At 38.0% G+C, this 19,062-nt stretch overlaps 1 protein-coding gene and 1 pseudogene across 8 annotated transcripts in view; one reads left to right on the forward strand and one right to left on the reverse strand.

The window, feature by feature from the left end:
- The window catches only part of ALS2 (alsin Rho guanine nucleotide exchange factor ALS2), an 80,667-nt gene that overhangs the window by 57,801 nt on the left and 3,804 nt on the right, over positions 1-19,062 (reverse strand). For 6 of the 8 annotated variants that reach the window (NM_001410975.1, NM_020919.4, XM_006712654.4 and 3 more), the window contains exons 2-4: positions 10,799-10,878; positions 9,162-9,316; positions 2,814-3,751 (exon numbers count right to left, since the gene is read on the reverse strand). In NM_001410975.1, coding sequence (NP_001397904.1) covers positions 2,814-3,751; positions 9,162-9,316; positions 10,799-10,818 — 1,113 coding nt within the window. In that variant the 5' untranslated portion in view covers positions 10,819-10,878. Of the gene's footprint in view, positions 1-1,384; positions 3,752-7,585; positions 7,761-9,161; positions 9,317-10,798; positions 10,879-19,062 lie in introns of those variants that run through there. The other 2 variants (XM_047445224.1, NM_001135745.2) reach the window with 2 other exon arrangements.
- RPS2P16 (ribosomal protein S2 pseudogene 16) lies at positions 4,647-5,543 on the forward strand (annotated as a pseudogene).

A 19,062-nucleotide genomic window follows, 5' to 3' on the forward strand; every position in this document is an offset into this window, starting at 1 on the left:
GAGAAGAAAAGGCATGGAAAACACTGCCTTTAATGCCAAGTGCACTGTGACAGCCCTGGACAGAAGATTGAAAAAATGCAAATTTCATTATTGATCCCTTTCAGGAAAATTTATACAGACTACTACCTAGAAGTGGCAGGAAAAAAATTAGATTTTATGAAGAAAAAAAAAGCTTTCCCTGAAATGCTTTATAAATTGAAATTTAGATATAGCATATGGAGATGGAAAAATAAGTTATACCTGTAACCTATCATCTCCCAAATTATGCTCAACTCGAGTGCCTTTACTGGCTCATCAATGAGTTATTTTCTATGACCCAGGGGCTAGAAAAGCTGTAGGATTACCTTTGCTCTTGCTACCACAGATGGCAAATGTGGTAGGTTAATAATTAAACATTTGGAACCAGTGTTCTTAGTGTGATTCTAGAAGTGTACTAGAAAGTCAAACTAAAGTTTTCTGATATCTTAATGAAAAAATCAGTTGAAATTTACTCTAAGCTGTCAAACATCATTGTTCCCTAAAAAGGAAGGTCATTAAATGTACCTACCAAACACATAAAAAAGCTTTCAGCTCATCAGCATAGATCATATTGAAAAATTTGCTTCTTATTGTACCCAAAGATCTCAAAGGGAATATACACATTCCTTCATTTGTCCTAAACTAAAATACAAATATAATGTGTGTGTGTGCGCATGTGTGTGTGTGTGTGTGTGTGTGTTTGTTTGTATATTTTAACATTGGCATCTGACTTCCTAAAGGAAATAATTCCTGGTACCTAGCGAAGTGCCTGACATGTAAGTACTCAAAACATTTTGTTGAATTAAACGCTAAATTCAAAAGAGCTATTTCCATGCAAATTAGTCTGTAAATAGTCAATAAACAAATATACTTAATAAAACGAAAAAGAAATACAAAGCCTATTACTTCTTTGGTGATACAGCTCCCACGATAGCTTGTTCAGAAGAACTAGTGTCACTATGTCCACTTTTTGTTTACAAAGGCTCCTTACATAAGCAGTGATGGTATTTAGAGGTAACTATTTTAGGGGGTTCTTAACCACTAGGTACAGCAAAGTCACAAAACTCTACCTTATATAAACCTTGAACTACTGTTCTAACTGGCTCCTTCTACTTAATTATATTTAAAAATATAGTAATAAGCCCTCCCCTACAAAAAACATAATTAGCAATTTTGATGAAATATATAATTTTAGGAGTTCCAGTCAACCAGTAATACTTTGGTTTATTTCCCAAGTGAGAGAGTCTCAGTTATATCTCGCCAGAAGAGAAAAAACTTGCCCTAAAACAAATAAATTCCTTGTGAATTAGCTGTATGATTGAGATGTTATTTACAAAGAATAAATTAAATGTAATAGAAACACACATTTAATTTAAATAAATTAAATTTAATTCAATAGAAACACACACATTGTTACTAGCATAAGTAACAAAAACTTCCAATGTTTAACAAAGTAAGTAAAATGTGATAAGCATGTACAGTCTAAGAATTTTCTACATGCATTCTTGTTAAACTACTACTTTTGCTTTGTTCAGACTTTATAATACCTTTCTCCAAACAGCTTATCCTTGATTTTTTTAAAAATTCAAATACCCACAAGTTTCAGTGAATAGATTGTGAAATAAAGACTATTTCTAAAAATACCTTCATGTTCACATTCTGACAGAGTAAACAATAAGAATTGAGAATCAAGAGGCTATGTGGTTTCAAAAACCTAAAAAGAAACACTGCAGGACAGATCTTTTATGAGTATGATCTTTTGTTTTGTTTTCTTACAGTTTTGGTAAAGCAAAATCAAAAGGCCACACTAAGAGTAAAACACAGAAATAATCCTTTTAAAACAATTTAGTTTAAGCGGGAACTCAAACTTTACCATGTGCTACTGATAAACAACTTTTGTTCATTCTACCACAAATCTTCAAAATGAAAATAGTTTTAATAAGATATATAAAATAGGCTGGGCATGATGGCTCATGCCTGTAATCTCAACACTTTGGGAGGCTGAGGTGGGAGGATTGCTTGAGCTCAGGAGTTTGAGATGAGCCTGGGCAACAGGCTCTACTCTACTTAAAAATAAAATCAGCAGGTGTGGTGGCATGTGTATAGTCCCAGCTACTTGGAAGGCTGAAATGGGAGGATCGCTTGAACCTGGGAGATCGAGGCTGCAGTGAGCCACAATCGCATTACTGCACTCCAGCCTGGGTGACAGAGCAAGACCCCATCTCAAAAACAAACAAACAAAAAGATAAAATATTAGCCACCTCTTCAAATTAAGCCCAGTAAGGACCACAGCTATAATTGAAAAAAACTGAAACATGTAATTGCCTGTAAGTTTTAAATCTGCCTACAATTGAAGGATCTGCCACAAAACAATCTTCCCTGTTAAAGAAGGAAAAGACTTTTCTCTACAGAATTCTGAAGAGTGTTACAAACACAAGTAAGAAGAATCTTTGTGAATCTCTAGTTATATTAAACTATTCAGGGCCCACCAAAATTCAGTACTTTAGCCATAGAAAAAAAGTACTAGCAAGAAAAAAAAATGAAATGCTCCTACTTATAAAACAAGCCCAACATGACACCTTTCAATATCATAAAGGGCCAGAACAAACATAAAGAGTGATTTTGAATTAATCCAGGTTCTTTCCTTTATCTAGGCTTGCCTGATAAAACAAAATTATAATCAAACTCAAAAAATAAAAAATGCTACCAAGCCTTACTCATTTTAAAGTTTCTAAAGAAAAGCCCATACAGTTCAACTCTAGACACACTTTTATTTTATAAAATTGAGCAGGTACCTGAGATGGCACTGGCTTTTCACCATGCTCTGAGTCCTCTCTTACTGAATGATCTGACAGTTTCCGTAGGTATTCATTGACTGCTTGGGTGTCAGGGTATGATGGTATGTTTCTGGCAGAGGAAATTTCAGTTGTTCCCATGACATTTTGTTGAGAGGACATGGCATCGCTGCTTGTGATCTGAGCACTTACTGCATTCAGTTCAGTAGCAACAGACTGATCATTTGCTACAAGAGTGTTCTCAAATACTTCTTCCTGCCTGTCAAGGGTTTCAGTGGAGGGGCTGAGAGCAGTGCTGGCATGGTTTTCTGCCTGAGATTCTGTCAGTGTCACACCTAATGGGCAACAATGACTGTCTGATATAATCACATGGTCTTCTTTGTCAGTCATAGTAATCAAGAGCTGGCTGCACTGGTTGCATCGTTCTGGGACTGGCTTCAGATCCTGGGAAGGGAGGCATTGTACAAGGGCTAAGCTGTGGAAAGCACCACAGGCAACTTGAAGCACCACTCGCCCAGCAAGATGTTCTACCTTTTGCGGCTTTGTCACTGGGAAGGCAGTGGTAATGAGACCCAACTGACAACCGGTACCCCATGCCCAAATCTCTCTGCTTATTGACAATGCCAGAGTGTGCTCCTCGCCACACGCCAACTGTAAAATCCTGACTGCTAACAAAGGGCTGGCCTCAGAATCAGCAATGCTGACAGGATTTGGTTCCGGCACATACTGCTGGTTGGCTACTGCACACTGGCCAGCAGAATTCTCTCCCCACATGTACGCGACACCATTGTCTGTCACTGCTCCACTATGGAAGCTTCCTGTTGCCACAGTAATAACATATTGCCCAACCAGGGCATTTTCTAGAATGGGGCTACTTGGACAAATCTCCACTGGTCCACTTCTCCAGGGAAGAGTCCCAAAGCTGTAGACCTCACCATCTGAAGGTTAAAAAAAAGAAAAAAGAAAAAAAAAAGGGTTAGTGAATTAACTAAAAATTTTAACAGCAAACTTTTAGTCCCCTATAGATTTAACCAAATTGGATTTTCTTTTTAAATTTTCAAAAGCAGTTGTAGAAATCTGGTTCAAGCACACAGTATTTCACATTAATTCATCTTTTTAAAAATGACTCTTTTTAATATTCTGCACTATAGTGAGAATTTCTACAAAGTGCAGGAGGCTAATCCTTTCCTTCAGCCTCATCCTACAAACTCCTCACATCAATCCACTCCTAACGGCCATCATCCAGGCTATTATAGAAACAGATTCCAAGTGTTCAAAGGCAAAATAAATAACCATGTTAAGATAAAATAAGCAAAAAATAAGACAAAACAGACACATTCACTAATATCTACAATTCACTACTACTAAACAAGTTGGAACAGCAAAAAATTATGCAATGGCTTAAAAATATTAGCGATTCATTTTGGCCAAAACTAAGAAATTAACTTTATGCCTCTAGGCTGTACAGGAAGCACCAGTTCTTAACAAGACATGGCTGTCTTCACTTTGTATGTCACATTATATATAGTTTTGAGATGTTACATAAATATACAGGTTGAGTATCACTTATCCAAAATGCTTGGGACCAGAGGTGTTTTGGATTTCAGGTCCAGGTTTTGGAATATTTGCCTTATGCTTACTGACTGAGCATCCCAAATCTGAATGTTCCAATGAGCATTTCCTTTGAGCACCATCACATCAGCACTCAGAAAGTTCTGGATTTTGGATCATTTTAGATTTCAGATTTTTTAATGTGGGATGCTCACCCTGGACTTTATGTACTAGATACTAGCTAGTCTTTCTGAGGTGAGATTTGTTTAAAAAGCAAATCAGCTTCTTCTCTGAAAAAACATCAAATGGCAGATGAAGCTAGGGCAGCAGGAGGGCCCAGAGGCCCCAGAGACCCTGGGATGGGGAACCACAGTGACTTCCATGGAGGCTTGGGCAGTGGCATCTGGGGCCAGGGTCGGGGCCACAGAGCTCAAGGAGGCAAGGCTGAGGATAAGGAGTGGACACCCATGACCAAGCTGAGCTGCCTGGTCAAAGACACGAAGATGAAGTCCTGCTGAAAACCTATCACTTCTCCCTGCCCATCAAGGAGTCTGAGATCATTGACTTTTTCCTGGGGACCTCTCTCAAGGATGAGGTTTTGAAGATTGTGCCAGTGCAGAAGCAGACGCGCACTGGCCAGCACACCAGATTCCAGGTGTTTGTTGCCACTGGGGACTACAATGGCCACTTGCTCCAAGGAGGTGGCCACTGCCATCCAAGGGACTATCATCCTGGCCAAGCTCTCCAATGTCCCCGTGCACAGAGGCTACTGGGGGAACAAGATCAGCAAGCACCACGCAGTCCCTTGCAAGGTGACAGACTGCTGTGGCTTTGTGCTGGTGCGCCTCATCCCTGCACCCAGAGGCACTGGCATTCTCTTAGCCCTAGTGCCCAAGAAGCTGCTGATGATGGCCAGTATCGATGACTGCTACTCCTCAGCCAGGGGCTGCACTGCCACCCTGGCCAACTTCACCAAGGCCACCTATGATGCCATCTCCAAGACCTACAGCTAACTGGCCCCCAACCTCTGGAAGGAGACTGTATTCACCAAGTCTCCGTATCAGGAATTCACTGGCCACCTCGTCAAGACCCACACCAGAGTCTCCAGACAGAGGACCCAGGCTCTAGCTGTGGCTACAACATAGGGTTTTTATACAAGAAAAATAAAGTGAAGTAAGCCTAAAAAATGTTAAAAATAAAAAGCAAATCATCACAACAGAACAAAGCAAAAAAGCAAATGAACCTGTCAGAATAACTGGCTAGCTTTAGAATTAATGAAAGGCACCAGTGAGTTGGGTATATAAATAACTCATGTATGTCCAGCTATGCTACCAAGTCTTAATTTTACTGTAGTATTGTGGGAGCTTGGGAGCAGGTACACATAAGCTATGCTGGCTAAAAATTCAATGAAACAAAGACTTGGCTACGGGTTTTAAAAAATACTGAGCCAAGCCCACTATCCTTTCTTTTCCATATGACCAGAGATTTATGATTTTTTTTAATTAATGAAGAAATAAGCACTGTTTTTTTTCTCATAAGGCAGCAATTGAGTTGATGATGAAAACATGCAAACTTTATCTTTGACCTATTATACATGGCAGATACATGTATACACTCAAGTTAACTCATCACATCATCTATATAAGTAAGGACTCAATAGTGGCTACAGGGAAGATATGTGCATTTATTAGGAAATGTATAGTCTGGTTCAAGAATACTGACATGAGAAAATAAGCTCACTGGTTAAGCTCTTTTAAACTTTGTTTCCTAATACAACAGTATACTTGAAAAAGCTCACCAAGTCTTTCAATTAACATTATTCCACTAGAAAGAGCAATACTGCAAAGAAATGGATATTTAGATCCCTCTCCTTAAAAAACAAAAACAAAAACTGGAGCATATAAAAAATAGTGAAACAGGCTGGGTGCAGTGGCTCACGCCTGTAATCCCAGCACTTTGGGAGGCAGAGGCAGGCGAATCACTAGGTCAGGAGTTTGAGACCAGCCTGGCCAATATGGTGAAACCCTGTCTCTACTAAAAATACAAAAAAAAAAGAGCCAGGAGTGCTGGCACTGGCCTGTAGTCCCAGCTACTCGGGAGGCTGAGGCAGAAGAATTGCTTAAACCCAGGAGGTGGAGGTTGCAGTGAGCTGAGATCGTGCCACCACACTCCAGCCAGGGCAACAGAGCGAGACTCCGTCTCAAAATAAATAAATAAATAAATAAATAAATAAATAAATAAATAAATAAATAAAAGTGAATCAATGAGGTATCTTCATTGAATTATGAGCTAATGGTCATATTTAATAGAGATGAAGAACCTTGAAAATTTCTAGCACTCAACCATTTCCTCAGCTGGAAAAGATAGCACTGGAGGTCCGTATGCAATTTCAAACATACACTTGTGTTAGACGACGTTTTCTTTTGGTAACTGTGACACTTAATACCAGGACACTGCTTAAACATGAATAACGATAGGCTATTTAAATATTTTTGAAAAGTTTTCCTTCAGTTGTCCTAGCCTTGAAGGTATGATTCTAAAGATACCATGTTTATAGTCGAATAACTTTTTTTTTTTTTTGAGACAGGATCTTACTTTGTCAGCTAGGCTAGAGTGCAGTGGCATAATCACAGCTCACTGCACGCAGCTTTGGTCTCCCAGACTCAAGCTATCCTCCTGCCTCAGCCTCTGAAGTAGCTGGGACTACAGGCGCAGGCCTCCATGCCTGGCTAATTTTTAAAATATTTCTTGTAGAAACATGGTCTCCCTATGTTGCCCAGGAAACATGGTCTCCTTATGTTGCCCAGGCTGATCTTGAACCCCTAGGCTCAAGGGATCCTTCTGCCTTGGCCTCCCAAAGTGCTGGGATTACAGGCATAGGCAATTGTGCCCAGCCAGTTTCATTAGCTTAATGAAAATATTCCAAATATCTTATTGAAAACAACAACAGAATTCCACTTATATTTGCTTGAGAACTATATATTTTAAATCTCATAGGACAGGTATTGAATATAGTTCACACTTTTAAAGTAAGATTGTTTTTAAAGTCCTGAAGAATAATATTATAATAAAACTGATATAAGACAAACTAGAAAGAAATCCATGTTTATCCCATACAACCACCAGGACCAGATTTAATCCTTGTTTCCTAGAATTTGTCTTCCTTTAGTTCCTAGAAAGAAAATACCAAAGCATTATTTAATACCTTAATAAATACTTACAGAGCAGAAATTTATAAATTAGTGAAGTAGATGGCAATTGGTGCCCAAGTCAAATTTGTCATGATTGAGTTGATAAAGTGCCATTAAGATTAAAGGTACCTCTATAAATTACAGCACACGTTTCGGTAATAGACTCATAGATTTTATAATATGCATTGTGAATTGCTATTCATGCCTGAAAAAAAAAATTATATTGAGAAAGTTCAGCCAAGTGGCTTTAAAAGCAGGCTTTGAAATCAGACTGAGTTCCAGTCCTGACTCTGACACTTCAATAGCTGTGTGTGCTTGGGAAAATTTAATCTCCCTGACTTTCAGTTTCCTTGTCTGTGAATAATAATAGAAGCTACCTCATAAGGTAGCAGTGCAGATTCAGTGAGATAACACATGGAACTTGTTATCTCACTAACTTGTTATCTACTAACACATGGGGCTTAGTATAGTGTCTGGCATACAACTGCTTAACAAACATTAGCTATTATTAGCATTAGTATTCTGATAGACTTAATGAACAAAAGTTATAGCAAGAGTCTCTGAATAGGTAACCTTTTAAAAAGTTAATTTTTCATGTATTTATTACCATAAAATTTTAAAACTATAACTCTCCCTTTTATTCTAGTTAATAGTATATTTTAAATTTAAGAACTAATCTGATTCCTGATAAGGGAGTAAGAATATATCTTGAAAACAGAAATAGTTCATTAAGAACCCCTAGGCTGGGCGTGGTGGCTCATCCCTGTAATCCCAGAACTTTGGGAGGTCGAGGCGGGTGGATCACCTGAGGTCAGGAGTTCAAGACCAGCCTGGCCAACATGGTGAAACCCCATCTCTACTAAAAATACCAAAAAAATTAGCTGGGCATGGTGGTGAGCACCTGTAATCCCAGCTACTCGGGAGGCTGAGGCAGGAAAATTGCTTGAACCTGGGAGGCAGAGGTTGTGGTGAGCTGAGATTGCACCATTGCATTCCAGCCTGGGCGACAAGAGCAAAACTCAGTTTCAAAAAAAATAAAATAAAAAAAAGCAAAGACTTGGAACCAACCTACATGTCCAACAAGGATAGACTGGATTAAGAAAATGTGGCACATATACACCATGGAATACTATGCAGCCATAAAAAATGATGAGTTCATGTCCTTTGTAGGGACATGGATGAAACTGGAAACCATCGTTCTCAGCAAACTATCGCAAGGAGAAAAAAACAAACACCGCATGTTCTCACTCATAGGTGGGAATTGAAAAACGAGAACACATGGACACAGTAAGGGGAACATCACACACTGGGGCCTGTTGTGGGGTGGAGGGAGCGGGGAGGGATAGCATTAGGAGATATACCTAATGCTAAATGATGAGTTAATGGGTGCAGCATACCAACATGGCACATGTATACATAAGTAACAAACCTACACGTTGTGCACATGTACCCTAAAACTTAAAGCATAATAATAATAAAATTTAAAAAAAAAAGAAAGAAAAAGAAAAAGAACCCCTAGTATCCAATGACTCCCATACCTGACCTTCCACACTCAGGCATTTGTTAGCATTGCAGTTCGTATTTGTTACGCCATTCTTTTCATTACCTTCAGTCAGAAGAACTCCATGTTTCACTCCGAGGGCTGCCTGCAAAACAGTCTTTCCTCCCCAGCCTGGCAATCTCTCTGGTGTTATGGGAAAGGATCCTGCCTGCCAGATATGGACCAGGCCTCTTTCCTTGGATCCTTCTGCCTCTGTTGAGCTAAAACATCAAGAAACATAGCTTAATTGTTTCTACAATTCAGAACAGTATCCTTTGTTCTTAATACTTTTCATGATTGTACCTTTTACCAGCACATGGATGACTAGGTCAGATAGCTGAATTAGCACCTATTTTATGCTTTGGTTATGCTCACAGAAGCCAAGGTAAAACAACTATTTATATAAAAGACTGAAGGATGTGGGGCGTGGTGGCTCACACCTGTAATCCCAGCCCTTTGGGAGGCCGAGGCAGGCAGATCACAAGGTAGGAGCTCGAGACCAGCCTGGCTAATACGGTGAAACCCTGTTTCTACTAAAAATACAAAAAAAAAAAAATCAGCCGGGCATGGTGGCGTGAACCTGTAGTCCCAGCTACTCAGGAGGCTGAGGCAGGAGAAGCGCTTGAACCCGGGAGGCGGAGGTTGCAGTGAGCCAAGATCTTGCCACTGCACTCCAGCCTGGGCGACAGAGCAAGACTCTGTCTAAAAAAAAAAAAAAAAAAAAGACTGAAGGACACTCTAAACCCACAAATTACTTTTCTCCATCTAAGAAGCAAACAAAACTTGGGCTATTTTTAGAAGTTTTAGCATTTGGTAGCATAAAATTCCAAGATTCTAACTTCTCAATATATTCACTCCTTGTTGAGATATCAAAGCTACAACATGCCCAAGTTGAAGTCTTATCATAAAATTTTATAGTAAGTAAAAAGTACTTGATGAGAACAATATGAGAAACAGGAATTCATATTTCACTTTATGTTGAGTTTAAGTGTAGAACTGCTATTTAAATTTTTAGGAATCAAGTTTATAATAGATATCAGTAAAATCCTTAATGCTTTGCTCAAGTTCTAGCTAAAGAATTCTACACATCTGATGATTTCGGTTTAAAGAATACAAAACACATAGCTGCACAGTAATGACCATATCCTAACTGCCTTCTTCTAAGAAAAGGGCACATTAAGATATGTGCCACCATTGGTAATACATTTTTTCATTTTCTTTTTTCTAGAACGCTGATGCCAAAATTTTAATGAGGCACAGAAACTCTTTTGAATAGCTAAGCATTTATCTATATTTGCTAAATAATATTCCCTTAAATTATAACTGGACATAACCATGGTTCTATAGGAGGAACAGTATACATTTAACCTTCCTTTTAAATATCTTCCATAACTAGTTCTTTAAGGATGGAAGATGATTAAGATTAGCAAGGCTACTTCTGAAAACCTGAAATTATTTGTGAGGGAAAAATGGCTACAAGCACTTTAAAATGATGAAATGAAGACATTTAGTGCTTCTTACAAAGCTTACAACTAACAAGCCTTTTTAAAATTTTATCTTTACCAACGAACTAACTACAAATGTCACTATTCCCACTTAACAACCATCAACAAGAAAATTAAACTGAAGAGAAGCTACACATATGTGAAGCTGTTTGCTATGTTTTCCTAGGAGGATAAGAGAAAAGGAAGAAATGATTTTACCTTCTCTTCTTTGAGTCCATCGGTCAGTGGGAACACTCCATCACCAAATCATTCCTTCTTTACAGAAAGTCTATCAAGACCTAAACAGTACAAGTAAGGAAAAGAGCAGTAAAAGAATATTTTACCCCTCAGACATTAAAAAAAAAAAAAGCAGCCCTCTAACAAGTGCACATTCACTAGGAAATAAATATGCAGTAAAACTATTTAAACTATTTCATATCTTGCCTGCCAAAGTCAAACATAGGCTGAGCCTGCCCACTAAGCTTATAAAAATGCCCATTGACTGTCAAATGTAATGTCAAAGGAAGAAAAGACTACCCACAATTAAGCTGTACTCTTCCAGGCAATAGATTTTGTTTTTTATTATAAAGAAAAAAGTTCAATCTGAAAAATCAATGTGTTAAGTACAAAAAGTACACACACATTAAGGGTACTTTTTAAACGCTCTGTCTGGAATGCATGAAGACTTAAATACCAATTAACTCAGATTTTCTAAAATCTCTTCAGTAATGTATCTGATTCAAGTAGTTTTAATTTATACTTTTCAGTAATGCACAAAAATTATGTCATTAAAATAGGAAGTTTTCCACTTATTGGAAGAAGGAACATTTTCCCCAAATCACCTTCGATTCAGACCAACATGCCTCATAACCCAAACGGTTGAAAGAAAGAAGTCTGAATTTTAAATCAGCTGTTTTAAAATCCACCTTTAATAGAAAATAGCTGTATGAAAATTATAGTTACAAATATCATGGCCCATCAGTTTAGAAACTCAGTATTTAATAAAATAAGAGATAGAAAAATAAACAGAAATGCTGAGTGCATTTCAACTCAGAAATCCACATTTGTAAGGGTACCAAAACACAAGAAAACAAAAGCAGTTAGGTCTTATTTGTGTAAACCATAAAAATATTGGGGCCAAATTTGTGGTTTTTCTGCAAAAGGATATGGAATGGTCACTGTGTTCTGGAAACAGCTCATACTGGCAGGAGTGATCTGGGGTCCATCTGTTTCCTCCAGGTTGCCTGTGAATTCTTACCATTTCCCATCTGTACATCTGAAGAAAATTACTTTCCACCTAATGCTTATTTTAGAAAGATTATGAATCATTCAAAGTTGGAAAATGGGTACTATGTTAACAAGAGATATATCTGAATAAATTTAATAAATGATATTCATTTAATAAATACAATTAAGTGCTACTATGCTTTGTCCATGATAGTAATTAGCCTTTTGTAAAATGCACAGTTCATGGTGTACAGAGAAATTCTGCCACCAGATCTAATCTGTGCTTATCTATCAGAGATCATGGAGTTACTACGCCCTTGATTAAATTTCAACAATAGGTAGCGGAAGCCAGAGAATTATTCTACGAGGATGTGGAAGCACACAAGCACACCTTACTTCACACAACTGACACACTATATGTAAACGGAATTTTGTCCTACTAACAATCAAAAATGTTGAGAATCTTTTGATAAAATGAATAAAGTCAACCTTTATTCTCTCTTAGTGCCAGATTTTTGAGCACAGTTTTCTTAAAGTTGGTTACACCTTACTCAATATTATTTATCACCACCACTCATTTTTTTTTTTAACCTAAATGGAATTAAAACTCTACAAACTGTTTTTACAACTTTCTTTTCTTACTTACTATAGGGCAGGCCAAATAACGGTCTCCAAAGGCATCAAGGTCCTAATGCCCAGAACTTGTGACTATGTTAGGTTGTGTGATACTAACCAACTCTCCTTAAGATAGAAAGATTATCCTGGTTATCCAGGTGCACCCAATGTAATCATAAACATCCTTAAAAGTGGAAGAGGGAGGCAGGAGGAGAATCAAAGAGACATGATGATGGAGGCAGGGTCAGAGATGACGCTACACTGCTGACTGAACATGGAAGAAGGCAGCCATGAGCCAAGGAATGCAGGTGACAGGTAGCAGCTGAAAAGGCAAGGAAAAGAATTCTTTCCTAGAGCGTCCAGAAAAAAGCAGCCATGCCGACACCTTGACTTTAGTCTACAAGACCTGTGACAGACTTTCAGCCCACAGAACTTGAAGATAATATATTTATTTGTGTTATTTTAAGCCACTAAGTTCATAACAATTTGTTGCAGCTGCAGTAGAAAACTAATATATTATTTCACAGACATCTTTTTACATCAGTATTTACAGATTTTTTTTTTTTTTTTTTTTTGAGACGGAGTTTTGCTCTTGTCACCCAGGCTGGAGTGCAATGGCACGCTCTCGGTTCATTGCAACCTCCGCCTCCCAGGTTCAAGCAATTCTCCTGCCTCAGCCTCCCGAGTAGCTGGGATTACAGGCACCCGCCATTACGCCTAGCTAATTTTTGTATTTTTAGTAGAGACGGGGTTTCACCATGTTGGCCAGGCTGGTCTCGAACTCCTGACCTCAGGTGATCCACCTGCCTCGGCCTCCCAAAGTGCTGGGATTACAGGTATGAGCCACCTTGAGCCACCGCGCCCGGCCCCTATCTCATTTTGTTTTAATGGTGTTTAATATGTTTGACATCTTCCAACAAGATACGTCTGCCTGAAACTCCAATAGGGCAATGAAGAAAACTGATTGCTGAGGAAACATAACTAAAAAGGAATATTGCAACTAAATGTGGGGATCTTATGTTATTAAAGTTTTATCCTCATATACTTAAGTAAGGGTGGTATTTACCAACTCTATTTAATCTAACATTCTTTCTCAATTACGTATCCATCCAGGAAAAGAAAGTAAATGAAAAACTTTTGTCTTTCTAATATTTTTATGATTGTCTCTCCAGGAAATCTATTAAGACTCACCTCAACCAGTCAAATAGCATTCAAATTTCTGTATGTTATTTCATTGCTTTAACATTTTAAGTTTTTATAAAATTGCCTAATCATAAAACTTCCTCTGGGGATATTTCTTCCAGAGAAGCTTTAAGGTCTTTATCATTCCTTAAGAGGGCAAGATCCTTGTACTCTGCTGCTTTTCTTCTGTTACAGTAACTTTCCTGCATAGACCTGTTAACCAGCTCTGATAAAGAAGCCATGTGATGTTGCATAAACAGCATTTACTGTGGGACCCTCTCTTACCTTGCATGGCCTCTCCACAGATAAATGGCATCTCCGTAAAATGAGCAAACCAGACTTCAGTCTTCTGAACCGCAGGACACAGCTAGATTCACTTTAAAGCATACCACTCTATCCTTCAAATTATTATCTCCTTCACAGTGATATGTAAAGTAACAAAACCCCAGGGGGCCCTTTAAACAAAGAGCAAACCTTGCTTCTTAATAAACTGATGCCACTTTTAGACTCCACTGGATACACATCCTTCTGTTACATCTAACAGAGAAATAAGTTGTCCTGTACGAGCCAAGGATATCATTTTAATACCATGATCTGGAAGTGCCCTTAACAACAACAACAACAACAACAATCTAGTCTAGATGTCCCAACTGTTAGAAAGATGAGCTACAACCATCTTACAGGTCTACAATACCTTAACCAGAAATCTATAGCTCTGAAAATTAAAAGTTTTTTCAATAACACTTTTGGTGGCAAAATCTAATCTGACCTGAACTCATCTGACAGCAAAATCTGACCTGAACTGATATGAGGTTATTTATCACTTTTATCCCTTTAGTGTGAATATTCATACATCGTGTTGTAGAAATATCAGTATGAATAGGGCAGCACCACAGATCCCACAGGAAGTGTTATATAATATATAGTTTATGCATCTTACTCTAAAGAACAAAACATAAATCTGAATTCCAAAATGCACCTTGCCCCAAGGGTTTTGAATAAAGGACCAGGAATCTATATTCAAAAACAACTATCGTTTTTTAGTAGAAGTCTCAAAACTTTTAACTATTTTATACTTAACTTGGTTTCTTTTATGTACTTTGAACATTTACTTCATTTTGGAGAGTACACTGGGGAGTTGCATTGCTTCCAGTGGGACAGTCTATGGATGCTTTCATGATTTTTTTTTTTTTTTTTTTTTTCATTTTTGAGATGGAGTCTTGCACTGTCGCCTGGGCTAGAGTGCAATGGCATGATCTCAGCTCACTGCAACCTCCACCTCCTGGGTTCACATGATTCTCCTGCCTCAGCCTCCCGAGTAGCTGGGATTACAGGTGCACACCACCACACCTGGCTAATTTTTGTATTTTTAGTAGAGACAGGGTTTCACTATGTTGCCCAGACTGGTCTTGAAATCCTGACCTTGTGACCTGCCCACCTTGGACTCCCAAAGTGCTGGGATTACAGGCGTGAGCCAATGCGAAGGGCCAATGATTTATTTCAATGACGATTTACATTTGTTTCAAAAGTTTTAAACCAATTTTATGGTGAACACTCACGGAGCACCAAAATGAATTTTTGCAAGGAATATCCTGCCTGCAAATACTCCATCGGCTCATCTTCTCAATGGAGGAAGGAAGCCTGGGTTCTTAAGTTTCATACAATGCTGCCAATTTGGTGAAGAAGAGGTGAATAAATGAGAGATGCTCTGGGGGCAGAACAACTAGTACTTGGTGATTAGACAAAGGTGGGGGACCAAGGAGAAGCAGGTATCAGAAATGATCCCTGGTTCTGCCTCAAATAGCTGTGTGTTGGTGGCTCCATTTCCTGAAATGGGCAAGAGTGAGGGAGATACGATTCTGAAGCAAAGATAAGATTCTGGTAGGATAAAATTTATTTTTAAGTTCAAGATGTCTGTGAGAAACCCAAGAGTACATATTAAGTGAATAGCTGAATATATGAACATGGAGTTCAAGAGAAAAGTCTCAGCAGCTGCTAAACTTGGGAGGGCGTATGGATAGTGTTTAAAAACAAGACAATAGATAATGTCATTGGGTATATGGAAAGAGAAAGGAAAGCGCAGTGTCAAGCTTTAAGGAGCTCCTGCGCCTGGAAGTTGGATAGGATGAGGATCGGACAAAGAGGACTGAGACTGAGAAGTGGTCTGCCGTGGGCACATGAAAGCAAAGGAAAGCACTTCAGGGAGGACGTCAATTAGGTCAAGGCAGCTGGGGTCTTGTAAGATAACTAAAGTGTCCATTGGATTTGCCAACACAGGTAACGGCTGAGCATGGCCACAATCTCAGTGGTTTGTTTGGGCACTGAAAACCAGATTGAAGTAAGCTGAATATAAACAGGAGGTGACAATGTGGAAATATCTTTATTTTCAGTGGGTGATCCTTTTGAAAAATGTTGAAATGGCAAACAAAGAAATGGAGCAGTAGCTGAAGGGGAATGTGAAAATGAAGGGTTTTCTTTTGCTGGAGGTTGGGGAGATGGGAGGAAGCTGAATATGTCTGCATGACAAAGGCTGTGGTCCTGGATACAAGGATGATGAGGACAGTGGGCAGAGCCAAAGTCCCAGACAAAGTGAAGGAGGATGCCATCCAGAATATATGTGGGGGGATTGTTTTTTTCATAAGAAGAAAGGTCTACGTTTTTGAAAGAAGAGAGATCACAGGTACAGATATAAGCAGAATTATACATTTTGTGGTGGGAGGATAAGGGTTCCATATGATGGTACCTGGAAGTGAAGAGGACTTCACAGTATGCATGTTGTATAGTCTGTTTCTTTATTTTATCCCACCCTGCTATACATTTTTGTAAGCTGCTTTAAATCCTTTTGGGAAGAAGGCAGGATATAAATAAAAATTTTAAATGTGGTAGAGAAATGTGTTGAGTGTATTATCCCAAATGCAAAGAGAAAGTTAAATCATGCAGGATCCTATGTATTCATCTCTACTCAACTATTTTCTGGATAAAGTCTTTTTGGCTTAATTCGGTGAAAGGTAAATTTGTGAGTCATAAGTATAATAACTTGCAAATGCTTAAATTTCAACCACTAAAACCACATGTATTTTTTTTCATCTACTATGTTCCAGGTATTATGCTAGTCTAAAATTTCCATGGAAGCAGAGTGACAAATATCGTATTTTCTAGTACATCCCAGCAGCTTAGTCCTGATATATAACAGGTACTCAATAAACATCTGTAAATACATGACTTCCTGCCCTTAAGAAATTTCCATACTAGTATGTTCTCTTTCTCATTAGAATAATGGCTCTCTATAGAGTTAGACAGTACCCTTAAGGGATAAGAAAGCTAATTTACACTAGCAAAACTGGGCCTTCCTAGTCTTATTCTCCTGTCTCAATTACCGGTTTAAAATAGTAAAACAACAGTAATAATTGTAGTTATAAGAGTAATGTTAATCAGTGATTAGAATGACAAGACATTCAGATAGAAAGGCAATAAAAATAATAGGTGAGTAAACTGTATCATAATGCCCTGAATGGAATATAGACATTGAGTGACTTGGATACAAAATTACCATAGATTTCATGTAGCCATTAACACTTCCTTTTTAAAGTCTGAGTTGGTTACATTTTATTACAATGTAGTAGAGTGACAAGTGATTTGGATACAAAATTACCATCAATTTCCTATAGTCATTAACACCTCCTTTTTAAAGTCTGAGTTGGTTACATATTATTACAATGTAGTAAACCAGAGTTTACACTTTGCAGTAAACAATAACAGAGTCTGGTATTTTACACATGGTAAATGCTTAATAAATAATTTGCTTTTAGAGGCTAGGTCAATGTTTACACATGGATTATGGTAACCTTTGACTCAAACACCTGACTTACAAATAATCTATACACCAACAACAACTGCTACTTCCTGGATATCCTGCCACTGAAGCCTTCCCAACCACTGTGGAAGGCTGAGGAAAACTCACCTTGCACTGAAGCCTTGGCCAACTAACCACCAAGAAGGCCACTTGGAACCCCACGCCTCTCAGCCTTAACTGCTGCACAGAAAGCATTGCCTGATACCAGTATGGGAGCCAATGAGCCTTCAAATCTTGACTCAGAGTAAGAGAATTCAGTAAATTAAGGCATTGGATATATTCGGTAGGCTGGCCTAGAAAGCTACTTATTAGTTATAATGTTGTTACTAATAGGATATGCACTAAGTCACTGATTCAAAATATATTTTAAGCTCCTGGAGGTCAGAGACTATGACTTATTCACCGGTATACTCTTGTACCCATAATAATCATTCTGAACAAGCTGGTTACATTTAAGTGAGTGCTTGAGTGAAAGATACAGCCCCTGATTTTCAGTTGCAATCCACAGACTTCCACGCTATAGATTTCTAGTGCCTGTAATAAAAGTCAGTAACAGATACAAAAGAAAAAAGTGTCTTCTCCTAATAGAAACTCTCATATATAATTTGCTAAAGGTATATCCTAACAATGAAGACACTTTTATCTCATGTCACTTTAAAAATGGTTAAACAACTCAGAGAAGTGTTCCTTTCTCCCTTTCTCCTTAGTACACAGACAGCTTTTGGTGCAATGAGAAACAGGAAGACTTTACAGTCTTTTTTTAATGCCTTGCTAATTTCATGCTGAAACTTACTGAAACTACACTCTCCTGGTTATGACGATCCTCTAATCGGAAATTATTCATGGTGGAGTGGGGGGAAAGTGTGTAAACATGGTACAATAAGTTCCCAGCAATGCCCATTTAGCTCTTTTTTGTACCCACTGCATATTTTAAACACATTTTTCAGGATTATTAAATAATAATCCCATGATGCATTGTGATGAATATTATAATACTAACAAATGAATTTCAAATTCCCAGGTACTGCCACTATTTGTGCCTGTTATTACATGGTACAGTGAATGTCCTGGTAAGTCCTGACACAAACTACTTATTCCGTTAATATTTGCAACTACTCTCTTATTAAAATGGCCACAATTTTTTCAAAGGCAATATTAGATTTACAGTTCAAAGTATGATGACTTCTTTCACCAACTGATAACAGTGCTTAGGATCATTCAGGGGCCACATAACTAAACAGGAAATACACATACTAAAAAATATTATTCTCGTGATACAAGTTTCACTTGCTTTAATAGTGCTAGTAGCAGGTTCTCTTTATTAGAAATAAAAATATTGTTTAACTCACAAGTTTAAATACTGAGGTTACATTAGGGATCAGCTACTAAACGTATTATTCATTAGTCAACCATTTAACACATTGTCATCAGGTTACTTACTAATATCTATAGAGACAACTATTTTCTTTGAGCAACAACTGGGATACTTGCATTCAAGGTATAAACTCAAGATAACTACGTTGTAATAAAATGTAACCAAGTTAAGCTTTTCAAAGTGTTAATGCTAATACTACACAAATCTGTAGTAATTTTGTATCTGAGTCAC

Source organism: Homo sapiens, chromosome 2 (genome assembly GCF_000001405.40).
Source record: "Homo sapiens chromosome 2, GRCh38.p14 Primary Assembly".
In the NCBI taxonomy this organism is placed as follows: Eukaryota; Metazoa; Chordata; class Mammalia; order Primates; family Hominidae; genus Homo; species Homo sapiens.